The 25,833-nt window shown below is 53.0% G+C and overlaps 1 protein-coding gene across 13 annotated transcripts in view, besides 1 other annotated feature; it reads left to right on the forward strand.

Moving 5' to 3' along the window:
• The window catches only part of COL27A1 (collagen type XXVII alpha 1 chain), a 158,414-nt gene that overhangs the window by 5,767 nt on the left and 126,814 nt on the right, over window positions 1–25,833 (forward strand). For all 13 annotated transcript variants that reach the window (XR_929860.4, XM_011519138.3, XM_047423992.1 and 10 more), the window contains exons 2-5: window positions 2,851–2,921; window positions 7,825–9,599; window positions 18,427–18,480; window positions 23,158–23,211. Coding sequence is in view for 12 of the 13 variants with exons in the window: in XM_011519138.3 (XP_011517440.1) it covers window positions 2,851–2,921; window positions 7,825–9,599; window positions 18,427–18,480; window positions 23,158–23,211 (1,954 nt within the window). In the remaining variant the exon portion in view is untranslated. The remainder of the gene's footprint in view (window positions 1–2,850; window positions 2,922–7,824; window positions 9,600–18,426; window positions 18,481–23,157; window positions 23,212–25,833) is intronic.
• Window positions 3,284–3,800: an enhancer, noted in NCBI's record as "H3K4me1 hESC enhancer chr9:116925428-116925944 (GRCh37/hg19 assembly coordinates)". NCBI's record gives its function as "activates a minimal SCP1, AML or CMV promoter by ChIP-STARR-seq in naive H9 embryonic stem cells {active_cell/tissue: H9 hESC(naive)}" and the evidence as "EXISTENCE:reporter gene assay evidence [ECO:0000049][PMID:30033119]".

Consider the following 25,833-nt stretch of genomic DNA (forward strand, 5'->3'; position numbering starts at 1 on the left):
TTTATTTCTCTCCAGGGCTCATGCTATTGCCATTTGCTTCAAGTAAGCAAGTCATGCCAGAAAGGTTGGCCCTGCCCTTCTCCCCAGGCAACCCCAGGGCAGCTTGACACTTTGACCTTTAGTCGTTGCCCATGGTGAGCTGGGGGCCTGGCCCCATGAAAAGGCATTCTCACAACAGTGGCAGCAGATTGGAGAGGATGAAGAGGAAGGACCAAGGATTATCTTGGAGCAATTCTGGAAAAAGTCAGAGTAGGGGAATTAAGGCTTTGGGAAGACACTTTTTAAAGTCTATTTTTTTTTTTTTTTTTGAGGCAGAGTCTCGCTCTGTCGCCCAGGCTGGAGTGCAGTGGCATGAACTTGGCTCACTGCAAGCTCCGCCTCCTGGGTTCACGCCATTCTCCTGCCTCAGCCTCCCAGGTAGCTGGGACTACAGGCGCCCGCCACCACGCCTGGCTAATTTTTTTGTATTTTTGGTAGAGATGGGGTTTCGCTGTGTTAGCCAGGATGGTCTTGATCTCCTGACCTCATGATCCGCCTGCCTCGGCCTCCCAAAGTGCTGGGATTACAGGTGTGAGCCACCGTGCCCGGCCGTTTTTTAAAGTCTAGAGTCCTGTCATATCAGGTGATATTAATTCATCTTATAAAAATATACTGGACACTTCCTGTGTGCCTGCCAGGGGCTGGAAATATAAGCCCGGCATGGTGGCACATGCCTGTAATCTCAGCTACTCGGGAGGCTGAGGTGGGAGGATAGCTTGAGCCCTGGAGTTCAAGTCTAGCCTGGGCAACACTGTGAGACTCTGTCTCAAAAAAAAAAATGAAAAAAAAAAAAAGAGTGAATAAGACAGGCATCCTTGCCCTTTAGAGACTTCGTCTAGACAGGGAAATAGGAGAGTAGACAATGACCACACATGTGAGACCTGCTGTAGTGTGGCATGTGCAGTGAGCTGCGGGAGGTGACACCCAAGCTGGGATCTAATGGATGTGTAGGAACTGACCAGGCAAAGGAGTAGTGTCTACATGATGGGAGTAGCATGTGCAAAAGCCCAGAGCTGGAGAAGGCGTTCAGGGGACCATCACTGGCGTCTGAGTGCTATTTCAGCTGGTTTACATTATGCTGCAAGTAACTGAAGACCCAACTCAAAATAGTTTAAACGATAAGGGGGGTTATTCCCATATCAAGAGGCCTCAAGGAAGAGCAGTACTAGGGTTGGTGAATTCAGCATCCCAACAGTGTCTTCAGACACCCACTATTTTTCTGTTCTGCTATCCTCACGTGCTCATGGGGCTTGTTACCTTATGTGCCCAAAATGACTGCAGCAGCTCCGAGCAGTATGTCCTTACTCAACAACATATAAAGACTTGAAGAAAACCTTCTCTGTCCCTTTGAAATGCTTTCCCAGGGTCCCTAACAGGCATCCCTCACCTCTTATTGGCCTCATTTGGGTCATATATGCATGCCTAAACCAGTCACTGGCATGGCAAATGAAATTCTCGGGATCAACTTAGATTTATCCAGATTCATGTAGGATCCTCTAAGTCCATGCCTACGTGAGCAAGCAGGAAGGAGGGATGCTGTGGGCATGTAATCACCAGTGTCTTCACCATGCCCACAGTGACAGAAGCTGTCGTCTAAGGTGCCCAGGGAGTCTGGGAAGAACCTAGGGTTCCAGTTATCAACCCTGGCAGACAGGTTTCCTAGATTATGTGATTCCACAGAAGCACACTATCCTAGCTTTCCTCTTGGAAATACATCCTGGGCCTGTCTGTCCCAGCCTTAGCCCTCACCACCCACCTGACACAGCTCTCTTGCCTGTGTCCCGCCTGTCTCTGGCCACGTGCCGGCCTCCCCTCTGCCTGCCTGGGGATCAGATACCCCAGGTGGCTTCGGGTGTCACTGGTGGCTGCTCCCACAGGAAGGTGAAATTGTATCATTGCCTTTGCCCATCTTGGCAAAAGCCACAGAGCAGAGCTTTAACCCTTCCTGGCCCTAGAGTGTAGGGACAGTGGGGACCATCTAGGGGAGTATTTTTGTGGCTGGCAGCAGACTGAGCCCTTGCCATGCATGAGCTTATTGAATCCTCATGCCCGGCCTGTGAGATAGGGAATATCAGCCCATGTTGCAGAAGATAAGACAGGCTCAGAGAGGCTGAGCAACTCATTCGGGGTCATACAGCTGATAAGTGACAAGGCCAGGTTTGCACGTGGCTCTGTCTAACTCCCCCTCGTCCCCTCTGTTTTCTTTCTCCCACTTTCCATTAGGATAAAGCCAAGTTGGGAGCTGCCTTCACACAGCACTGGTTCTGGTTAAGGGGTCTCCTCTCTCCTGCCCTGTGTGGGAATTGGTCTCCCAAGCAGTCCAGCCTGGTCTTCCCGCTGACCTTTCACCCCTGGCTCTGCTGCCCATTGGCTGGGGTCTGGGGAAGGGTCTAAAGATCATGAGGCTGTAGTACAGATGGGGAGACTGAGGCCCAGAGAAGGGGAGGGGCTGGCCCCTGGTTGCTCACTGAGTCAGCATCAGATTTTGAGCTGGACCCTAGATGTTCCAATGACCAGGGCAGGGCTTTCTATGCACTGCTTCTTCCCCGTTGACGTTGGCTAATTGATCTGTGAGAAGTGAGGCTGTGTTTGTCTATATAAGCAGGTCCTCACTGAGAGGCTGTGCCTGGAGGCCGGGAAGAGTGGGCTGCTGCTCTGATGGGGTCCTAGAGCCTGTACCTGGCCTCCTGCCTCCCGTGGGCAGGACTGGGGTGAGACTGGGACTGGTTTCCACTCCCAGCTTCCCCAGCCGGATCCGGGTGTGAGGGGTGGAAGCTGATGCCGCCTCTGCTTGTGTCTCCTGGTCTCTAGGGGGTTTCTCTTCTCCTGGATCTTAGTCTCGTTTGCCTGTCACCTGGCCTCCACCCAAGGAGCTCCTGAAGGTAATTCTCTCTTCTCTTTGTCCAGGGGGAGACAAAGGAGAACGGAAGGGGCCTGAGAACTCAGGGGTAGGAGACAGCCGTGCCTGTAATTGGAACTCAATGCCTCAGTTTTCCCATCAGTAGAATGGAGATGATAATTGGCAAATTCTCTTTAGGCTTGAAAGAATGACATTTGAGGCCAGGCTCAAGACTGCAGTCCCAGCGCTTTGGGAGGCCGAGGTGGGTGGATCACGAGGTCAGGAGATCGAGACCATCCTGGCCAACATGGTGAAACCCCATCTCTACTAAAAATACAAAAATTAGCTGGGTGTGGTGGCAGGTGCCTGTAGTCCCAGCTACTCGGGAGGCTGAGGCAGGAGAATCGCTTCAACCCAGGAGGCGGAGGTTGCAGTGTGCCCAGATCACGCCACTGCACTCCAGCCTGGCAAGAGAGCGAGACTCCGTCTCAAAAAAAAAAAGAATCGCATTTGAAGTTTTTGTAAAAGGGTAGGAAGGACTCTGTGCAGAAATGTGGAAGGGTGATTCTTGTGTTCCTTTCTGGGGCAAAATTTGAGTAAGTTACTCCGGTTTTAAGCCTCAGTTGTCCCTGTTTGTCCAATGAGTGCTCTAAGAACTGCTAAAAAAAAAAAAAAGGCATTAAGCATTAACTCTCATGGCCCAAGCCTGGGATCCCATCTTCCTCTTCCCGTGAGATCCTACTTTTCCCTGCTATCCCTGAGGGGCTGTCCAGGGGGCCGGGGCAGCGATGGGCTGGCTTCACATCTGCCCAGGGAAACTGAAACCTCTCCCACATCTGTTTGTCAAGCAGCCGCATGCCTCTGAAAATAGCTGCCCTTCCCCCGCCTTCACGCCCAGCCCGTGTGCTGGGGCAGGCAGCCCGGCACGCCGGGAGTCCCTGTGGCCTGACCTGGCCACTCGGCAGGGATTGGGCCCCTGGGAGGGCAGGGCTGTGCCCGGAAGAGACTTCTGCTGCCCAGCAACATTTTGTGCAAATGTCATATTTTCCAAGCTTGCTGTTTCCCCCACAAAGTAGGTGAACAGCTGTCCAGAGTCCTGAGTCAGTCACTGGGGCGGGGGGCGGGGGGAGAGGCTGGAGCTGTGTGGAGCCAGGTTTATGTAATGAAGGGATCTTGTGGGGGCCAGCTGGCAGGCTCCTTCTATCTTGGCGTTGGGCTGAATTCATTCCCCTGTCCCCCATCTCTTCACCCTTGATGGGGTGCTGGATGTGTCTCCACCCTGCTTTCCGACAAGCCTGGGAGGCCCCAGGCAGAATAGCATCATGGCTAAGCACAAAGACCCCAGAGTCAGGTGGCCTGGGTTCAAACCTTGGCTGTGCCTTTTTTAAGCTGCAAGTTATTCCCTCTGACTCTTCTGAGCCCCCTCTATAAAGTGAGGATAATAAAGAGTACCTGCTCCATAGATTGCTGAGAGAATCAAGTGAGATCATGCCTGTAAAGTATTTGGTATCTAGTAAGTGCTCAACAAGTATTAGTTTTTCTTATTGCTGTTAATTAGTTACCTGAAAAGTTTGGGCAAGAACAGCCCTTTCCTATGCCCTGCAGGGCTCACAGTGGTCTGACTCATAGCAGCTCTGTGCTGGTCACATTTGCCAGGTGTCAGGGCTTGAGACTTTGCCCTTTAGCTGCAGATGGTCTTTGGGGGACACCTGGAGACTGCTGGTTGTCAGCTTAGAAACCCACCCAGTGGATAGGGGAAACCTCACCCATGCTGCCTGGCCCAGCCAGTTGTGACTCTCTTTGGGTGAGTGCAGGTTAGCCCTAAATTCCATGTGTGGAGAAAGATGTGAGCAGGCCTGAGGGGCCCTCCGGGGGTTGTTGAGCAGGGACTAAAGGAAGGACCAAGTGGCTTCCTGCCCTTACCTCTTGTCCAACCAAATGGCTCCTCCCATTCTAAGTCCCAGTCTATAGTGAATAATAGTGAATAGTATTTCATGATAATAAGAGGGTTTCAGTGACTAAAACATATACCACTAAGAGAATCCTTAATCAGTAGTTTATTTTAGCTTAGAACCTGAGGACAGACAGATGGGAGAAAGGATGGGAAAGAGGAGTTTGAAATGAAATGAAAGCCCCTTGGGTCCTAAGGAAGAATAAAGGTCTTAAACTCAAGCCAACCTGAACCAGCAACACAGAGCTATAGAATTCTTAGAACATTGTAACACCTGTGCTATCTCAAGATCTGTTTCTCTTGTCTTACAGGCAGGGAATTGAGGCCCAAGGGTCAGTAAGACACTTAAGCAGAGTTACTCAATGTGGGGCTTGGGTGAAGATGATGAGGAAGATGACCATTTCATCCTCCTAACAACCCTATGGTGTAGGCGCACTTTATAGCCCTGTTTTACAGTGGAGGGAACTGAGGCTCACTGCTGGTCTTCTCAGGCTCTAAATTTTGGCCTTCTGACTCCAGAGTCTGCTATAGAACCATTATAACATGCTGCCAGCACTCAGGTTCTCAATTTCCCCCAGGGAACTGTCCTTCTATCCATTCATCCACCCATTCATCTGCCTATCCATTTACCCATCCATTTATCTATCCATCATCCATCCATCCATCCATCCATTCATCCATCCATCCAATATCCATCCATCCATCCATTCATCTGCCCTTTCATCCACCCATCCATCCATTCATCCATTTATCTATCCATTCACCCATCCATCCATCTATCTACCAATTCATCTACCTATCCATCCATCCATTCATCCACCCACCCATCCATCCATCCATCCAGCCAGCCATTATCCATGCATCCATCTATTCATCTATTCATCCATCCATCCATCCATCCACCCATCCATACATTTATCTGCCTATTCATCTACTATCCATTTATCCATCCATTTATCCATCCATCCATCCATCCATCCATCCATCCATCTACCCTTTCATCCACCCATCCATCCATTCATCCATTTATCTATTCATTCGTCCATTATACATCCATCCATCTACCAATTCATCTACCTATCCATCCATCCATTCATCCACCTACCCATCCATCCAGCCAGCCAGGCATTATTTATCCATCCATCCATCCATCCATCCATCCATCCATCCATCAATCCATCCACCAATTCATCTACCTATCTATCCATCAATTCATCCATCCACCCATACAGCCAGCCAGCCATCATCCATCCATCTATCCATCCATCCATCCATCCATCCCTTCATCTATTCATCCATCCATTCATCCATCCATTTATCCATCCATCCACCAATTCATCTACCTGTCCATCCATTCATTCATCCACCCACCATCCATCCAGCCAGTCATTATCCATCCATTCATCTATCTATCCATCCATCCCTTCATCTATTCATCCATTTATCCATCCATCCGTCCATCCATCTACCTGTTCACCTGCCCATTTATCCATCCATTTATCTATTCATCCATCCATCCATTTTTCTATCCATCCATCCATTCATTTATCCATCCATCCATCTGTCCATCCATCCATCCACCCATCCATCCATCCATCTATTCATCTATTCATCCATCCATCTATACATCCATCTACTCATCTATCCTTTCATGCATCCATGTATCCATCCATCAATCCATCCATCCATCCATCCATCCATCCACCCACCCACCTATCCATTTATCCATTCATCCATCCATCCATTCATCTATCCATCCATCCATCCATCCATCCATCCATCCATCCATCTCCCAGTTGTCAGCTGAGGGCCAAATGCCAAGTGTTGCATTCAGCCCCCAGCACAACCTTTGCAGGGGGTGATAGGGAGAGAGCATTCAGTACTCAGGGCCTATCTTGCTGAGCTTAGGGGAAGGGCCCTGAGGACCTGACCCAGACTCAGATTCCAGAGGCAGCTTTTCCTTCCCTGCTGAGTCAGAGCTCAGGAGCCTGCTTTGCCAACACTGGCAGCTCAGCTGACTGAAGGGGTCTAATGACCTGGGAGGGGAAAGGTCAGGAAGCCTTTCCATAAACACTCTGGAAGCCCTCCTTTTCTTTTGCTCTGGCAAGCCCTGCTGACATAATTATTGGGCGGATGTGACCTGGCCAGACCACAGTCAGATATCCATACGCTTTGCCAGGGGACAGAGGTTGCAGGGATGCTTTGATTGCTTCCTCTCCTCTCCCCAGAGTCCTGTGGGGAGAAGGAGGAGTCAGCGGAAATGCCATCACCCTTCTGATAGCAGATGGCAGCCCCGTAGCCTGCTAGAGACACCTCGGGAGTGGGAAGGGGAATGGGTGGGTCCCTGAGGAGATGGTGAAACCTGTCAGACCCCTAGGACATCTTTACCAAGCTCTGGTGACAGGTCTATTCTTGTCATCCTGGTCCCTCACTTATGGGGCTGCTTCCTGGAGGAGATGGCTTTCCAGGTGGAGAAAAAGGAGTATAACGTGTCATTGTTGGGCAGCCTCTAACACTCTCAGCAACAGCATTTGGTTATTATCATTATTTTTAGTATTAGTTATTATTTGAAAGGGCTTCTTTTGTACCAGGCACTTAAAAATAAATGTATTCATCATGTAATTGTTACATCCTTCTGAGGTTGGGACTGTTACTATCCCATTTAATAGATGGGAAAACTGAGGCACTAAAGTCACAAGATTAGTAAGTGTTAGAGGTAGGATTTGAACTCAGGAAGTTTGGCTCCAGAGTCTGTTTTTTAACCCCAACATGCAAGATTATGCAGCCAGATAAGGGGTCACAATCCCTGCCAGATAGTTCCAACGCTGCCCTCTCAGCCACCACCATGGGGCGGTGTCATTTTTAGATGAATGAACAAAGGACCAGGTAGCTGTGGGTGGACGGTCCACATTGCCTGTGCCCCTTAGGGGGTAGGGGGTGGGGTGGGCTGGAGCAGGCCCTGACTGCGTCCTCTCCCCTTTTCCCTCCCTCTCAGATGTGGACATCCTCCAGCGGCTGGGCCTCAGCTGGACGAAGGCCGGGAGCCCTGCACCCCCGGGAGTCATTCCTTTCCAGTCGGGCTTCATCTTTACGCAGCGGGCCCGGCTCCAGGCTCCCACGGGCACCGTCATTCCTGCCGCCTTGGGCACAGAGCTGGCACTGGTGCTGAGCCTCTGCTCCCACCGGGTGAACCATGCCTTCCTCTTCGCTGTCCGCAGCCAGAAACGCAAGCTGCAGCTGGGCCTGCAGTTCCTCCCCGGCAAGACGGTCGTCCACCTCGGGTCCCGGCGCTCAGTGGCCTTCGACCTCGACATGCACGACGGGCGCTGGCACCACCTGGCCCTCGAGCTCCGAGGCCGCACAGTCACTCTGGTGACTGCCTGCGGGCAGCGCCGGGTGCCTGTCCTGCTGCCTTTCCACAGGGACCCTGCACTCGACCCTGGGGGCTCCTTCCTCTTTGGGAAGATGAACCCGCATGCAGTCCAGTTTGAAGGTGCTCTCTGCCAGTTCAGTATCTACCCTGTGACGCAGGTCGCTCACAATTACTGTACCCACCTGAGGAAGCAGTGTGGACAGGCTGACACGTACCAGTCCCCACTGGGACCTCTCTTCTCCCAAGACTCTGGCAGACCTTTTACCTTCCAGTCCGACCTCGCCCTGCTAGGCCTGGAGAACTTGACCACTGCCACACCAGCCCTGGGGTCACTGCCAGCAGGCAGGGGACCCAGGGGGACTGTGGCACCCGCCACGCCCACCAAGCCCCAAAGGACTAGCCCCACAAACCCTCACCAGCATATGGCGGTGGGAGGCCCAGCCCAAACCCCGCTGCTACCTGCCAAGCTGTCAGCCAGTAACGCACTTGATCCCATGCTCCCAGCCTCTGTTGGCGGCTCTACCAGAACGCCTCGCCCTGCGGCCGCTCAACCATCACAGAAGATCACAGCCACCAAAATCCCCAAAAGCCTCCCTACCAAGCCTTCGGCCCCTTCTACTTCAATTGTGCCCATCAAAAGCCCCCATCCTACCCAGAAAACAGCTCCATCTTCATTTACAAAGTCAGCCCTACCCACTCAGAAGCAAGTGCCACCTACTTCCCGTCCAGTTCCTGCCAGAGTCTCCCGTCCCGCAGAGAAGCCCATCCAGAGGAACCCGGGAATGCCCAGGCCCCCACCGCCCAGCACCCGGCCCCTACCTCCTACCACCAGCTCCTCTAAAAAACCCATTCCCACACTAGCTCGGACTGAGGCCAAGATAACCAGCCATGCCAGTAAGCCGGCCTCTGCCCGCACCAGCACCCACAAACCTCCCCCATTTACTGCTTTATCCTCATCTCCTGCCCCTACTCCTGGTTCTACCAGGAGTACTCGGCCACCAGCCACGATGGTACCTCCAACTTCGGGCACCAGCACTCCCAGAACAGCACCTGCCGTCCCCACTCCTGGCTCAGCTCCCACTGGAAGCAAGAAGCCCATTGGATCGGAAGCCTCAAAGAAAGCCGGACCCAAGAGCAGCCCCCGGAAGCCTGTCCCCCTCAGACCTGGGAAGGCAGCCAGGGATGTCCCCTTGAGCGATCTGACAACCAGGCCTAGCCCCAGACAGCCCCAGCCCAGTCAGCAGACCACCCCGGCCCTGGTATTGGCCCCGGCGCAATTCCTGTCCTCCAGCCCCCGGCCCACGAGCAGTGGCTATTCGATCTTCCACCTGGCAGGATCTACGCCTTTCCCTCTGCTGATGGGGCCTCCGGGACCCAAGGGAGACTGTGGCTTGCCGGTAAGACTGAGTGGGGTCTGCATGCTGCTTGGAGCTCCAGTGGGGGACTGGGGCATTGGTCAAGTGGTTGCCCCTAGTAAAGACAGGAAAAGGAGCAGCTTAGAGCAGGGAGCTGGTTATGGGTACATCCTTGGCTCCAGCCAGGCCCCCGGCTCCTCTGGCTCTGCTAAATGCATCATTGCCCACCCTGCTCCAGATTCATGATCCGCTGGGACAGACTCAAGTCTGGTGGCTACCCCCAGGTGAAGAGCATCCCTGGGCTTTGGTTGGCCCAGGTCCAAGCCCGTTCTTTGCTAACCCAGCTGCAAAGCTCGAACAGCTTAAGGAAGGCCCGTAGCTGACTGGCTCCAGATCATGCAGTGAGTAAGCAGCTTCCAAAGCCCCGTTCTCCCAGCTCATGGAGCAGGGGTCCTTCTGGCCCATCAGCTTGTCTGAGAGTTGCAGACAAAGGTCACACATGGGGAGCTCTGGATATGTTTTGTTTGGCACGTGCAGTGTTCTTTTTTAAAAATCCAATAACTTACTAACATTTTAAAAATGTGAGAGATTTCTTATAAAAAGACTCAGCAACCAACTTCTCTTGGAAAGTGGGAGATGCGATGGTGCTTGAGCCACCCCGTTAGGACAAGTCCACTCCTGTCTGTGCTGGTCCCCACTTCTCCTGACTGAGTCTTCCGACCAGTCCTTTCACCCGTTTATGTTACCTGCCTGCCTGGCACCTGCAGGGGTTTGATTTGTAACCCCCGGTAGGAGTTTGGGGTGCAGAAGGTCAGCGTGGGCCAGAAGGAAGAGGAAGGGAGAAGAAAGAACACGATTTGCAGGATGGTCTCAGGGTCGATGCCTCCGGCTTGCCTGGGACCGTCTCTAGGGGCAACGACCTTCCCACAGCTGGAGGCCAATTCCTCCGGGTGGGGAATGATGGGATGGCGTTTCCAGAAGGCTCAGGGCTCTGCTCTGTTCTCCCGCCTTGGAGATGACCACCGTGTGGTGGCCTCTCTCTCTCCTTCCTGAAGCCGGCTCTCCCACTGGGCTCTGTGTTTGAGGTTAGGGCTCCCTACAATGTGGAGACAGTGGCAGATGCTGGGAATTCCCAGGCCTTCCAAACACACTTAATGAGTTTTAATAATCATTAGGAATAATATTTATCCAGCCTGTCTCCAAGAGGACGGAGAGTCTGCCTTTATTATAACCATATTGTCGAACTTATGGAAACTGTATGCATTGCTTTGCAATTATGTCAACGTTCTGCTCAAGTTCCGTGTTCTGAAATTGGCAGCGTAGAGAGTTGGGAGCCACCACTTTCTTGTGGAAAGAACGAGGAACCCTTTTCACCTCTCCAGCCAACCCAGGCCAACTCTGGCACCAGGTGCCTTGGGGCCCTGACAGCTCAGCTTCCCACGCTGTGTGCGTGCTGGGCTCAATGGCGGTGAGGTCAAAAGGGGAATTGCCCCCTCCTGACATGGTGAGGTCCATGGTCTCAATTCTGGCCACACAGCACAACCCAGCCCTGAGGAGGAGGCCGGCCCTCCCTCCCAAGAATTTGTGTGGTGTGGAGAGAGGAGCGGAGCTGGCCCAGGGCAGATTCTATAGTATCTTGGGTCTGCTGTATGTCTGAGTCAAATACTTTTTCCTGGGGCTTGGGGCTCTGGGTCAGCAGGAAGCGAGGCCTCCTTCCAAATCTCTTTGAAAAAGAGGAGGCACTGAAATGAAACTGGTCAGTCAGTGGTTGCTTGGGGATGACTTAGTTCAACTTTCCTCATTGGGCAGGTGAGGAAATTGCGCTCAGAGAGGGCCAGGACCTGCCCAAGGCCACGCAGCACGGAGGAGGTGGAGTTGAAGTTTACATTCCAGACTGTAGCCTCCAAGACTAGCACGTTCCATCCCACTGCCCTGAGTGTCCACTCTGAGGCTCTGGGACTCAGATCTGGGGGACTGGGGGCTTCAGACAGGAGTCACTACTGTCCCTGGCCTCAAAGGAAGGGCTCAACATCTAAAGAATCTTTTTCTTTTTTTTTTTAGAGACAGGGTCTCACTCTATCACCCAGGCTGCTGTGCAGTGGTGTGATCACAGCTCACTGCATCCTTAATCTCCCAGGCTCAATTCATCCTCCTGCCTCAGCCTCCCAGGTAGCTGGGACTACAGGCACGTGCCACTATGTCCGGCTAATTTTTTCACTTTTTTTGTAGAGTCTGGGTCTCACTATGTTGCCCAGGCTGGTCTTAAACTCCTGGCCTCAAGTGATCCTCCTGCCTCAGCCTCCCAGAGCGCTAGAATGACAGGCTTAAGCCACTGTGCCTGGCCTAAAGAAGCTTCCGATTCGATAACCCATCAAGTTTATGAGCTGCTTCCACAGGCGCGGTGTCTCCTTTAGGACCTCATGAAAACTGGTTGAGGAGGGCAGGCTGTGTGTGTTCATCCCTGCCCCACAGATGATCCAAGAGGGGTTGGAAAGAGATAAAGGACCCCGCCAAAGGCTCCCAGCGTGTTCCTGAAGGAGCTGGGATGCAACTTGTGGTCCCTGACTTCTGGCCAGGGCTGAGGCTCTTTCTGCTCCTTCAGCCCTGACTACTGAGGACAAGGGGAAGACACCAACCTGCCCGGGTGACATCCCTGTCTCAGGCCCCATGCTATCCCCTGTCCCCACCCTAGGAGGAACCCGGAAGCTGGTAGAATCTTTGTCCACTGTGTAGCAGATGGCAACCTGGTCACTTCTTCACCAGATACCAGAATAATGTAATGGAAGAGGCATCTTTGAACGGTGATGAAATGAACTCTCATTCTTTCTGGCCTCTGCTGTCTTCCCTTGACCCCCATATATATCCAGGATCTAAGCCCAGCAGAACAGAAGCTCCAGCTGCCCAGGAGAAGAGCTTAATTGTCCCCCATCCAGGCACATGCAGACTTGGGTTCAAATCCTGACTCCACCCCTTTTAGCTCTGTGACTGATCCATGCTGAGCCTGTTTTTGTAGAACATAAGATGATAATAGCTCCCACCTCTGGTGGGGAGGGTGGCCTGAAAATGTGCGTAAATTTTATTTGCATATAAAGCTGTAGTAGAGGCTGGGCGTGGTGGCTCACACCTATAATCCCAGCACTTTGGGAGGCCGAGGCAGGCGGATCACTTGAGGCCAGGAGTTCGCCAACATGGTGAAACCCTGTCTTTACCAAAAATACAAGAATTAGCCAGGCATGGTGGTGTGCGCCTGTAATCCCAGTTACTTGGGAGGCCGAGGTAGGAGAATCCCTTGAACCTGGGAAGTGGAGGTTGTGATGAGCCGAGATCATGCCACTGCACTCCAGCCTGGGCAACAGAGTAAGACTCTGTCTCAAAAAACAGCTGTAGTAGAAATGAAGTAATTTGGGCTATCTTATCTAGTTTTGCTGAGTGACTTTGAGGAAATTCTTTCCTCTCCCCAGGGCTCAGTCTTCCACTGAAATAGGGTGTTGGGACAGCTCTCCCCTTAGAAATGACTGTGGGACCTTTCAGTGTTTGAGAAAGGTGCAGTGGCTGTGTCTGCATGTGCAAACCTGCTCCTCGGGGTTCAGGGCACGAGAGCAACTGGCAGAGGCAGAGACAGAGTTCTGGGCCCAGGCCTGCCAGGAGTTGTAGCTGCTGAGTGAGGAAGCTCTGTGGGAGCCCCAGGAGGGGGGAACATGGAAAAATTGAGCTTGGCCCTGGGTGAGTTGGGGCGGGGAGGCCGTGGTTCACAGCCCTGCACAGAAGCTGCACAGAAGCCCCACGCCTGAGAGGAGGCGAGTCAAGGCCTTATTTATTCACGATCAGGCCACTGGCATTTGCCCGTGCTTGCACTTTTTGCAAATGTCCCCTCGGGAAGACGCCGCTAAGGGCCTGGCCCACACCACGTGCTCTGTGACTATCTATCTATGAAATGAACAAAAGAATTTGATCCTTACGAAATGCAGGTCGTCCTGACTCCCAGGCGGGGTTCCTTGAGGTTACCCAGAACTCTCCTGCCAGGGAGATGAGGAGGCCATGTGGACTGCAAAAGAACATAGGCTTTGGATTTGGGACAACCTGGATTTGAACCATTCCCTTATTCAGCCATCCATTCATTCTTTGCACAATTGTTAACTGAACGTCCTGTAGATGCCTGGTGCTGTATGACCTTTGGCAAATCACTTAACCTCTCTAAGCCTCAGTTTCTGCCTCTATAAAATGGGGATACGGTGCCACCTACCTTTCCAGGGTCGTTACATGGATTCAGTGAGATGCGGGGGTCGGGGGGAGGGGAGTAAAGCACATATGAAACCTGGGTCCTGGTAGATTGTCATGGCTGTGATTGTGGACTGATGGTGGGTGTTGAGGTGGGGACTTTGGTGCACTGAGAGAACTGGGAGGGTCTGGACATAGTCTCACATTTGCTTGGAGAACTGTGCTATGAAAATACTAACCTGGGGTTAGTCGGTGGAGCAGGGACAGCAGGGAGCCTGAATGGATAAGAGTGTCATGACACATGTCAGCTAGACAGCGGGGGTTTGGGGGAGGACTGCCCCCATTTTTTTTTTTTTGAGACAGAGTCTTGCTCTGTTGCCCAGGCTAGAGTATAGTGGTGCGATCTCAGCTCACTGCAACCTCCGCCTCCTGGGTTCAAGCAATTCTCCTGCCTCAGCCTCCTAAGTACCTGGGATTACAGGCATGTGCCACCATGCCTGGCTAATTTTTTGTATTTTTAGTAGAGACAAGGCTTCACTATGTTAGCCAGGATGGTCTCGATCTCCTGACCTCCAGGCAGGGCCCAGACTCACTGGGGAGAGTTAAAGGAACAGACTATTTACGGAGGGGTGGACAGCATCAAGGGAACCAGCAGAGGCAGGTGAAACACAAGGGGCCTGGAAACTGCAGGAAATTGTTACCACACCCAGACCAGAAGGTCCCAGGGAAAGATGTTCCCAGAACCCAATAAGAGTTAAAACCTTGAGCAGGGGTCTCCTCACAGAAGCAGGGGCCATGGGCGAATACAGCTGCAGCCAAATTATAGCACAGCAGAGAGGGCACAGGGAGAGAAATATACCCTGTCCTCCCTTCTGTGCACTCTCTTCCTGGGGTCTCCCATTGGCCAAACCCAGCTGGAAGCCAGAGGTCAAGGAAGGCCGGGGTATAATCTGTAGAAGTCAGCTTCCCAGGGCACGGCACAGATCTGGGGAGTAAATGGAGAAGAACCAGCATGCATATGCCATCTCAGAATATGGGTATTACATTCCCATTTCACAGCTGGACAAACTAAGGCCCGGAGGCCCAGGGAGATTAAGTAACTTGCTCAAGGTCATACAGAGCTGTACTGATGCCAAGAAGCTCTGTTCCAGCAGGTCCTTCCCAGGACAGAGGCTAGGGAAGTCTGGGTGCCCTGTGTGAATTCTTAGGAATAATCATGAGCTCAGATGGTCAGAGATGGGAGAGCCCTTTGAGGCCCCCTATCTACCCCCAACAGGTTACAGACACAGAGTCGAGGCCTAGAGATCAAAAGGACATTGCTCAGGGTCACATGGTAGGTAGCAGCACACCTAGGATCGGACTTTGGTCTCCTAAACCCCAGGCTTGTAAAACCTCTCATTGCTTGGCAGGCAGAGGCTCTTCCAGCTGGACACAACGGTGGACTTGTTCCGTAGGATGGGGTTCCCCTAGATCTGGCTGTCAGAGGCCAGGACCCTTGGGGGAAGCCCCGAGGGGTCTGCTTGGTTGTTTCCATGGCTCTGTTTGCGTACGCCTGGAGCCCAGGCCTCCTCCACCTCCCCCAGGCAGGCCTGAGCCCCCGCTCTGCTCCCCCTCAGCTCCAGGCCCTCTCAGAGGCCCCGTTGTTTGCAACGCAAAGTGGAAAATCCCACCCCGGCCTCGTGAATCATCCCAGAGTCACCCGCTCAGGCTTCAGGCCCTGGAAAGAAATGGCAGCGTTTTTCCACTGCGGAGAGAACAGGCAGGGTCTCGGATCAGGGGAGAGGGGCCAGGGGGCACCCGTGCTCGCCACGAGCAAAGTGGGCACTGAGTAGGGGAGGGTCCAGCCCGTGGCTAGCACTGGGCAGCCGGCGGTCCCCACCCAGGTTGAAGGTGGAGTGAAGGGATTGGCCAGGCCCGAAGCTGGGGCCGCCCCGTCAAGGAGTCCGCCTGTGGGCTGACATCACCAGGCTGGACCCTGGGTCCTGAGTGGCACTCAGAGTCTGCTCTGCAGATGTGGTGGATGAGGTCAGACTCTATCCTGGATGCCCCTATTTCTGGGGCAGAAGACATGCCAAGAGGGAGTGTCCAGGCCTCTGCAGCTGCAGCCCCACCAGGGTCCATGAAGGAGCTGCACCCACGGAGCCTGTTCCTCCCCGGAGTCCTGGACAAGCCCTTCACCCTGCTGGGTCTTTGCCTTCTCTGTGAGATGGGAAGAATCTCGCTTTTCCTCTTCACTTGATAATGTAGCAGAGGAAATTACCCCCACCTTGGCTTTCCGCAACTCAGGAAATGCCAGTGCCAGGAAGTTTCCAGGATCTTCATTTCACAGATGTCCAGAGAAGAGAAGGGACTTACTCAAGGCCATATACCTAGTTAGAGTCACACTCAACCAAGATTGTGTGGCAGCTGCCCAGGGTAGGAGAACAGGTCCAGTGGTCCTGGGTTTGAATCCAGGCTCTGCCTCTTGTTAGCTGTGTGGCACTGGGCAAGTCACTTTTCCTCTCTGAACCTCTCTCTGGTTTCTTACCTGTTGAAACGGCATGGTATACCTACAGTATGCTTCGTCTCAGCCCCCTGCTTTTTCTTTAATTCTGGGTCCACCTGGGACAGTTGGGTCAAGGAGGGCCTTCTAAGAAGGGACATCTTTTGCTGTCCCCTAGAAACAGATGTGAAGGAGGATGGCTTAAAATTTTGAGTTGAGGACGTTCCAGAAGCTTGCTTCACAGAAATAACAGCTAACATTTTTTTTGAGCATTAATTGGGTGCCAGACACCAGGATTAGCACTTGTTATAGATTATCTGTCGGCTAGGTGCTATTATTAACCTCATTTTACAGTAATAGAAAAAAGGCTTGGAGCCTGGAAATAGCTTTGCTCAAAGCCACCCAGATAGTAGGTGGGTGGGGGGGGGTGCCCTATGTGAACCCAGGCCCGTGGTGTTACACCATACTCTACTGCCCAGAGACAGCTGGAGAGGAGAAGTGGGTAAGACTGGCACCCAGAGTCCAGAACCCACAAAACCAGACAACCCCTCTACCCACCCCTGGAACTCTGCCGCCAATTTGGCCAGAGGTCTCTGGATGCTCAGAGGTAGCTGGGACTTGCCCGAGGTCACAAAACAGACCCTCCTCCTTCTGCTCAGGGCTCTTGCCCAGTGACCTTGGTACCCATATCTGCCTGTCTGGATCTCTCCTCTGATTTTTATTCATGGACGAGCAAGCACGTGGTGTTCACAGGCCAGAACTGTGAGCCGAGACTGCCCAGCATGAGATCTGGATTAATTACCAGCCAAACCAGACTGGGTTTTCAACACCGATTTTAACTCTGGGCAGGAAATCTGGAATCTCATTGATGGTTATTTGAAACAAATGAATTCCCCAGGCCTCACACATCCTCGAAAGCCTGGCTTCCTTCAAAGGCTGCAGGCACAGTTCTTCACATCAGGCGCTTAGTTAATCCTCATTTACTCCTTCGAGGTAAATGCAGTGGTAGCTATTGGACCCATCTTAACGGGGAGCATCTGAGACTCAGATAAGTGGGAGGAACTGCAGGAAGTGTGCAGCTATTAAGTGGTAAAGCCAGGATTTGAACAAAGATCAGCTCATCCTTCAGTAAGTCTGCTCGGCTGCCTCCCTTCCTGTGTAAAGAGAAAAGAGATGAGGACACACAGATGCTCCTTAAATGCTGAGCTTCAGGGTTAGGTTTTTCACTTGTGGGAAATGGGGAGCCCTTAAATGTTGTTGAGCAGGGGAGGGCTTTTGGAAGGTGAATGAGGCTGTGTGGAGGAGGACTGCAGAGGGGAGGGAGGAGAGAGTAGAGGCAGGGAGACCACTGAGGGGGCTGCTGCCGGTTCTTGGGGAGTGGTGATGAAGGCTGGACCATGCTGTGGCCATGGGAACAGATAGAAAATTTGAGTGCCAGTTACATACCAGGCACCGTGTTAACATTTATCATCTCTCATGTCATCCTTGGAATCCCATGGGGAGTGTTTTATTGCCTCCGTTTGTATGGGCACAAGCTGGCTAAAGACTTGTGCATTTTGTCAGCGGCAGGCAGGGATCTGAACCCAGGCATGTCTGATTCAAAAACCCATGCCATGCTCTGTGTGCTGTGCTGCCTGTTTGTGGGGCAGAGATACTTGGTGTGACCTTGGCCAAGTCCCTTCTCTGTTCTGATTCTGCAGAGAATTTGGCTGAGCTCTGAGGTTTCTGGCTGTTTTATTTTATCAAACGTTTGGCTGAGCCCTGGGGATAGGCAGATGACTCATATCCCCTTAGTTCCTTTGAGGAGACTGTCATCTGATGGGAGACACAGGCTTCTAAGCAGATAATTCCCCAAGTAAGATAGCGGTCTTTAAAATAGAGGAAAAGAAGGGACTTTGTCCAACTTGGGGAAGGTTTTCTGGAGAAGGTGACACCCTAAGTTAGCTGGGTGATAAATGATGAGGGCGTCAGTGACTGAATAGTAGCTATGAAAGCCCAAAAGCCCCAAAGAGCATGAATTTCTCAGGGCAGGGACCTCAGGGGACTCCTCCTCTTAGCCGCGGACTATCCATGCCCACAGCTGCAGGCGGGATTGTTGAATGACTGCTTGAGCCCATTCTCTGCTGCCAGTGGGCACTGTCTAATGCTGTCTTCTTGTTTTCTCCTCAGGGTCCCCCTGGGCTACCTGGGCTACCTGGAATCCCTGGTGCACGTGGGCCTCGGGTGAGTTATCTCACACTGTCCTTTGGAACTCTTGGTGGCTCTTTGGCCTGCGTCTCACTGCCCCTGAGGTCTCGGGTTTGCTGTGTGTCCTCAGGTTCTTCCCTCCCCCTCTCTGGCACCCATATTTGGCTTTATCCATTTGGAGTGGACTTAGGGCTCTCAAGGGTGCTATATGGACAGATATGGCATGGAACAGCAATGACCTCTTGTAGGTCTCAGTTGTCCATTGGGGATATCACCCTTTGCAGCCTGGGGTGGGGAAGGGGCTCCAGAAGATCACATCCCTTCGGCTGGTGAGCTTCAGTGTTTGGCCAGGAAAACTGCCTTGGGGAATATATGACCCTTGCATCCCTCTTCCTGTTTCTGCAGGGCTCTCCTGGAGTAGGGGTGCGGACATAGGTACCTGGAGGGGCCATGCGGGGAGGAGTTGAGTTCCTCCTGCTGGAGAGAGGCTGGGGGACAGCTTGGCAGGCTGCGGTGGCTGACTGAGCTAGCCCAAGCCCGAGAGGGAAAATAGCTCCTATGTGATGTGCCTGGCACCTTCTTTTATGCTGCCTTATTTGACCTCTCATGCCCACCCCAAGTTCCCATGGGACAGTGAGATCATTCTCATTTTAGAGATGAGGAAACTGAGTAGGAAATGGCAAAACCAGGACTGGAACCCAGGCTCTTACCCATATACTGGAACCCTTGGAGATCCCCTTAGAGGGAAACCTACCTGCTTCCCTTAGAGGGCTGAGACCAACAGCACCCGGCATCTGTGCCCAGGCTGAATCAGCCTTTCCCACGCTGGGTGCCTGGTGAGGCCCTGGCAGAGGTAGCTGCCTGGGGCATATTTTTAGCTCTGAGCCCAGCGAGTGGTTCTGGTTATGCAATTACCCAAGCCCTAGTTCCCTCCAGACCTGGCCCTGTGCTCCCTGGGCCCAGGGCTCTGGAATCTGCCATCTGAAGCGGCATTTCCTCCTGGCTTCAGAGCCTTCATGAAGCACGTGCCCTCTGGGGACCACATAGATATCACAGACGCTGCTAGCCCATGGGACCTTGCAGCCTGGGACCAGGATGAGGCCGTTGACCTAGGCAGCCTACTCCCTTCCCCAACCTCCTGAGCCCCCAAGCCTCTGCGGTTTTGCTCTGGCTGTCCTCCTTTGTAAACTTGTCCTCCATTCATGTCTAAGAGCAAATGCCACCTTTATTTCTGATGACCACTCCCTTCTTGGAACTCCCGCAGTGGTTCCCCTGTCCCCTCTGGATGGCATGGGCCACTTTCTCAAAGCTCTCATTGACCACTAAACTCTGTTTGCTGAGCCACATGTGCAGGATCTCATTCCACCTTCCCAGCCATTCTGAGAAACAGGTTTCAATCTATTCCCATTTTACAGATGAGGAAACTGAGGCTCAGAAAGGTTTAGTTACTTCAGATAAAGTCAAAGAGAGTAAATGGCAGAGCCAGGATTGAACCCAGGCAGTCTGCCTCCAGAGCCTACCATCTTTTTTTTTTTTTTTTTTTTTTTTTTGCCAGAGTCTCGCTGTGTCTCCCAGGCTGGAGTGCAATGGAGCAATCTGGGCTCACTGCAGCCTCCACCTCCCAGGTTCAAGGGATTCTCCTGCCTCAGCCTCCCAAGTAGCTGGGATTACAAGCACACGCCCCCGGGCCCAGCTATTTTTTCGTATTTTTAGTAGACATGGGGTTTCACCATGTTAGCCAGGCTGGTCTCAAACTGCTGACCTCAAGTGATCCACCTGCCTCGGCCTCCCAAAGTGCTGGGATTATGAGTGTGAGCCACTGCGCCTAGCCCAGAGCCTACCATCTTAAGCATCTATTGTGCTTATTTTTCTGAGTATTCACCTGAGCCCCTCCAGAGATAGGCCTCGGTTACCTCTCTCTCCTACGTGATGCCTGGCAGAGCACCCTGCGTGCTGGAGGTGCTGGGCAAATGATTGGTGAAGAGTTCTAATGTAGGAGTCAAGAATATTTCTACCAAGAAGTTGTGGAATCTTAGGCAAGTCCCTTCTGTCCTTCTAGGCTCAGTTTCCCCATCTATAAAGGCTGGGGTCATGGTAAGGCATTTCTAAGTTTCCACCTAGCTCTGGGTGAATGACTCTCCTGACACGCTTCTAGGCTCTTTGCCTGCACGCCACCCCAACTCTCCCTGCCCGCCGTCCCACCATCATCCTGTTTCTAGACTGGAAATTCCATAGATTATAAAATTCCAAAGATAATAGAATGCTGGATTAAACAATCCCAGCTCCTCTCTGCACAGATGGGGGCTCTGGGGCTTAAGGAGGGGCATTCTTACCTGAGGTCGCCCAAAGCTCTCTGTCTTGCCCCTTCCTACCTCCACATATTCCCCCAGCCCATGGAGGGATGTTGGGGAATCCCAGAGCCTCCCCCACCTGGCTTTCTAGGCTGCAGCATTTATAGAATTGGTCTGCTTGGCTTTCAGTCAACTATGTGCCTCGTTTCTCTGCAATACTGGAGAGGGTTGGGGACGGGGGGGCAGGGAAACAGGAAGCCCCCACCTTCAGAAGCTGCAGATGGGGGAGCTGAGTGCTCTGGCCCACCATCTGTGGGGCAGCTGGGGCACGACTGGGGAGAGGCAGCCGCCCTTGACCTTGTGCAGCCTACGCCTGGCTCTGGTGGAACTGGGTGTCAGGAACCCCTCCTTGAACACTCCCTCCCAACCTCTGTCCAATTCCCACTGAGCTTGTGGTTAGACCTGGTTAGACCCCACAAGCCTGGGCTGGGGTGAACATCGGAGGGTGTTCCAGATTCCTTAGAGACTGCTGGGTCCCAGTCACTTACAGAACAGAGGGAGAGACCGAGGCTGGGGATTATGAGGTGGGGCTCAGAATTGGGACTCAGTCTCGATGCTTCCAGGTTCTGTCGCGTGCCAGGAGACAGTGTTTGGTGGACTGCAGGGGAGGGCAGGAGGGCTGATTATTTTGGAAGGAGGGTCACAAGAGGCACTGAGAAACTCCCCAGGCTCAGTGTGCTCTGGACACTGTTCCTTGCCGGTGCATTCGGAGAAGGGGAGGGTCCCAGTTCAGGCATCAAGGAAGAGAGGAAGAGGGAGGTGCCTTGGTTGGAATGTGACAGGCTGCAGCTGGGAAGCTGGCCTCAGAGAGGGAAGAAGAAAGCAGTTCACACACAGTTAGCCCGATGAATCAAGAGGGACGGGGAAGAGGGCAGTGTGCCTAGAGGCTGGTGGGGTTGGGAGGACCACTGGACCCTTGAGGGTGCCTCTCCTCACCTCCTATGCCCCAGATTATTCCTGCTAGACAAAAACCCTCAAGTATTCCCCGGCTCTTAGGGCTCTATTTATATTACTGTGCTGGAAGACTCTAGGCCAGGGCCCTTGCTGGAGAAAGTGGACATAACAGGACCCAGCTGTTATCGGGGAACTTGGATATGGCCTGGGAAAATCCAGCGCCATGAATAAACTCTGGACTTGAAGCCACCAGGCCCTGGACCCTGATCTCACTTGGCCACAAATCTGCTGTATGACCTTGATCAAGCCTCCTGGACTCTCTGGGTCCAGTGTTCCCAGGTGCTCTGTGGTCTCTGGAAGACCTTGAAAGCTTGGAGCTTGCAGGTGTCTAAGGGTCTGATCACGTGTTGTAGCCACAGGAGAGGTGCACCTTTGTTCACAAGAGGTCAAATACATCCTTCTTGAGCTCTCAACTCCAAAGACTCATACAAAAGTCCAGTTGGGGCCAGCTGCCGTGGCTCACGCCTGTAATCCCAGCACTTCAGAAGGCCAAGGCAGGAGGATTGCTTCAGGCCAGGAATTCGAGACCAGCCTGGGCAGCATAGCAAGACTCCATCTCTATAAAATAATAATAATAAAATAATAAAAATAATAAAATAAAAATAATAATAAAATAATAAAAATTAGTGGCCCATGCTTGGAGTCCCAGCTACTCAGGAGGCTAAGGTGGGAGGATCTCTTGAGCCGAGGAGTTTGAGGCTGCAGTGAGCCATGATCATACCACTACAGTCTAGCCCAGGCGACAGAGCAAGACCCTGCCTCTAAAAAAAAAAGTCCACTTGAGACTGGAGGAGCCCTAGAGGGTTCCCCGGAGGAGATGGCACTTTGAGCCAGGCCTGAAGGATGGATCAGGTTTCAAGCAGAGGAGATGGATGAGAAAAGATGCTGCCAGATGAGGGAACAGCATGGGCAAACGCAACGAGGAGAGAAAGTACCAGATACGTGGGAGGGAAATGCATAGCTAAGTGTGGTTTGAGCCTGAAGAAGCTGGGAAGGGCTGACGGGGCTAGGCTGAGAGATGTGGAGAGGTGGTAAAATTTAGGGGTGAAGGACTTGTGCTCCGAGGTCAAGGTCCAGCTCTGCCTCTTAGCAGCTGGGTGATCTGAGACAGTTACGAACCTCTGTGAACATTGGCATCCTCGTCTTCAAAATAGTAATAACAACACCACCTACCTTCCAGGTTAACAGGATCAAATGAGATGGCACATGGGATGTGCTTCCCACTGGGCCAGGCATGGAGGGTGTACTCCCAAAAGTAGGCTGAGTGGCCACGACAGTGTTGCTAGGGCTTGGCTTGGGGAGAAGATAAACCAGTGGGTGGAGGGAAGGTGCCAGGCATTGCTGTCAGAGGCGAGATGGCCCCTGTTTTTTGTCACCTTTTTTTGTTTTTGTTCCTTGTCTCTTTCAGGGTCCTCCTGGGCCTTATGGAAATCCAGGTCTCCCCGGCCCTCCTGGAGCCAAAGTGAGTATTTGCTGGAGATGTGGCCATGGAGTGGGTGCTGGGGTTGGAGCCATGTTTGCAGTGCTTCCCAGGGGTGCCTGGTGGGAGGGCTTCAGGGGAACTGAGGGGGATTCCCGCCTAAGCCAGGGGCACCCTCTGGGCCCCTTTCCAGGGCTGGGCCCTGTGCCTGGTCCGGAGACACAGTGCTTCCGTCTGGGAGAGACTTGGGAGAGTCGGGCAGTTGGAACCCAGAGCCTTCAGGGGAGTGGGCAGAGAGGTGATTTCTTGCTAAATAGGGAAGGCTGGCCTTGAATGTCAGACTAAGAACATAAGGCTTACCGGGTTGTAAGATGCATCCTGGGGAGGGATGTGGAAAGATGACGTTTTAGAAAGCTCACTGGATGCCCTGAGGAGGATGAATGCGGGGTGGGGAACCAGAGCCAAGGCCGGGAGACCAGGGGTGATATGGGGGAGAAAGGAGGCTAGTCCGGGCCAACTTAGGGGTGTGGGAGGAGGTAGGGTGGAAAGGATGGTGGTGGGTGCAAGGTGAGAGACAGTTACAAACACCAGACAGTTTTTACCTCCCTGATGTTAGCCTTGGGGACTGAACTGGGTCCCAGGAGGAGGAGTAAGATGATGTTGCACGCAGGAACATGTAGCCCGGTCAAGTGATCATTCATGGACAGATATTCTGGAACTCAGGATTGCTCTGAGCTGGAGACAGAGCCAGGGGGAGGCTGGCGCAGAGATGCCACCTCCCCCAGGGAGTCTTCTTGGAATACTCGAATTCACTTTTAATGAGACCTTAGTGGCTGATGCTTTGATGATATGGGAACACCACTTGCTGAGCTCTTCAGTCTGTTCCCGGAGCTCTGGCAGAGGGCAAGGTTGTTGGGGCACTGCATTGGAAGTGAGAAACTCAGAGCACCAAGAGGATTGCCGGAGCCAGCAACATTTAGGTCATGGGAAAAGAAAGTTTGTGGAATGGCTGGAGAGATAGGAGGGGAAGGAAGATGCTAAAGTCCCTGAAGCTAAGAGAACAGTGCCTGTGCCGAAGGAGCTGTGGAGGGGGCAGATGGGCTCCTGACTCAGGGGCCTCCCAGCTCAGCCTGTGTCATCTGTGGGGTAACCAGGTGAAGAGCACCCCCGTGCTTTGGTTGGGCCAGGTCCCGGGTCATTCTTTGATAACCCAGCTGCAGAGGTTGAATGGCTTAAGGGAAGCCCTTAACTGATTGGCTCCAGGCCATGCACAGTGAGCTGCTGAGCAGCCTCTAAAGCCCATCTCTCCTGAGTCATGGAGTAGGGCTCCTTTTGGCCCATCAGCTTGTCTGGGAGCTTTGGACAGAGGTCTCACATGGTAGCCCTGGGCATATGGATCTGTGGTGTCAGAGTCTTGGGGCAGAGCAGAGTGCAGGAGCACTGGCCTCAGCCCCTCTAGATCTGTGACTCTACGTCCAGGGTTGGGCTGGGCTGGGTTCCTTTCCGGAAGGCAGGCAGTGGAGGCCTCAGGTGTCCAGTGCTTAGCAGCTGCCTGGAGGTGCTCTGGGCTTTCACAGGGTGAACACTGATGATAATAACAGCCATATACTGAACCCTTCCTGTGTGCCAGGCACTGTTCATGCGTTTGATGTGGCTTGTCTCATTTGATCACCACAAAGACCTAAAGAGATGGGTGGAGATACCGTACCCATTTACAGATGGGGAAACTGAGGCACGGGTCGAGTAAGACATTGTCTAGGAAATGGCAGTGGAGACTGCCCCCATGGGTCAGGCAGAGAGGCAGGAACTCATTTGGAGAGTTCTGCTTTGCAGAGGCCATGGCACATCAAGATGCCGAGCATCAGCAGCTGTTTTGAATGGCCAGGCTTGCCCCTTCCTGGCCTGCTCTGGGACCAGTGGAGCCTGTCTCCTCCCACCCCCAGACTCACTCCCTGCTCCTGTGGTAGCAGATGCTCCATCAGCCCCTTCTGCTGGCCCTGCTCAGAGCACTGTGGAACCTCAGTACCAGGCCCATGGTAGCCCACCCCAATCTTGCTAACAGATGTGCCATGGTAGGAGGAGGGCCTGCCAGCTGTTTCTCCTCGCATTTTGAACACATCTCTTAGTATGACCACTGAGGCTCCTCCCTAGCAAGTGAGTTCTCCTGCCACCACATGGAGCTGGGAACCATGGACTCAGGGCCTCATGGACAGGACTCCCATTTGCATCTGTGTATAATAGATAAGGATGTGGGTTCTATAAAATACACTGGAATCAGAGGCTGCTTCTCTCATTGGGACTTGCATAAAATGCCAGGGGGAAATGTCATGCCCTTTGCCTGGACACTTGGCCCTGAGGCCAAGGGTGAACAGAGGTGGCCCCAGAGCAGGCTGGTGGGAGGCCCAGTTAACTGGGCCAGGGCCCTAGGCTGATCTGTGGCATGGGCAGGACAAGGTTAAAGCAGAGGCCTTCCCTGGATGGAAGTAATGACTTGGCTGAGATTGGCTGAGAAAGCTGTGTGTCTGCATGAATGGGTGGGACCCTGGGAAGAGGGTCCTAGAGTCCTTACTGTTCAGCAGATCCCCTTTGGGATGGGAGGTGACCTGGTGGGACTGTAGGGCTGGCCTCCCCCAGGGCCTATGCTGTCCCGTCCTCTTCCAGCAT

Source organism: Homo sapiens, chromosome 9 (genome assembly GCF_000001405.40).
Source record: "Homo sapiens chromosome 9, GRCh38.p14 Primary Assembly".
NCBI lineage: Eukaryota > Metazoa > Chordata > Mammalia > Primates > Hominidae > Homo > Homo sapiens.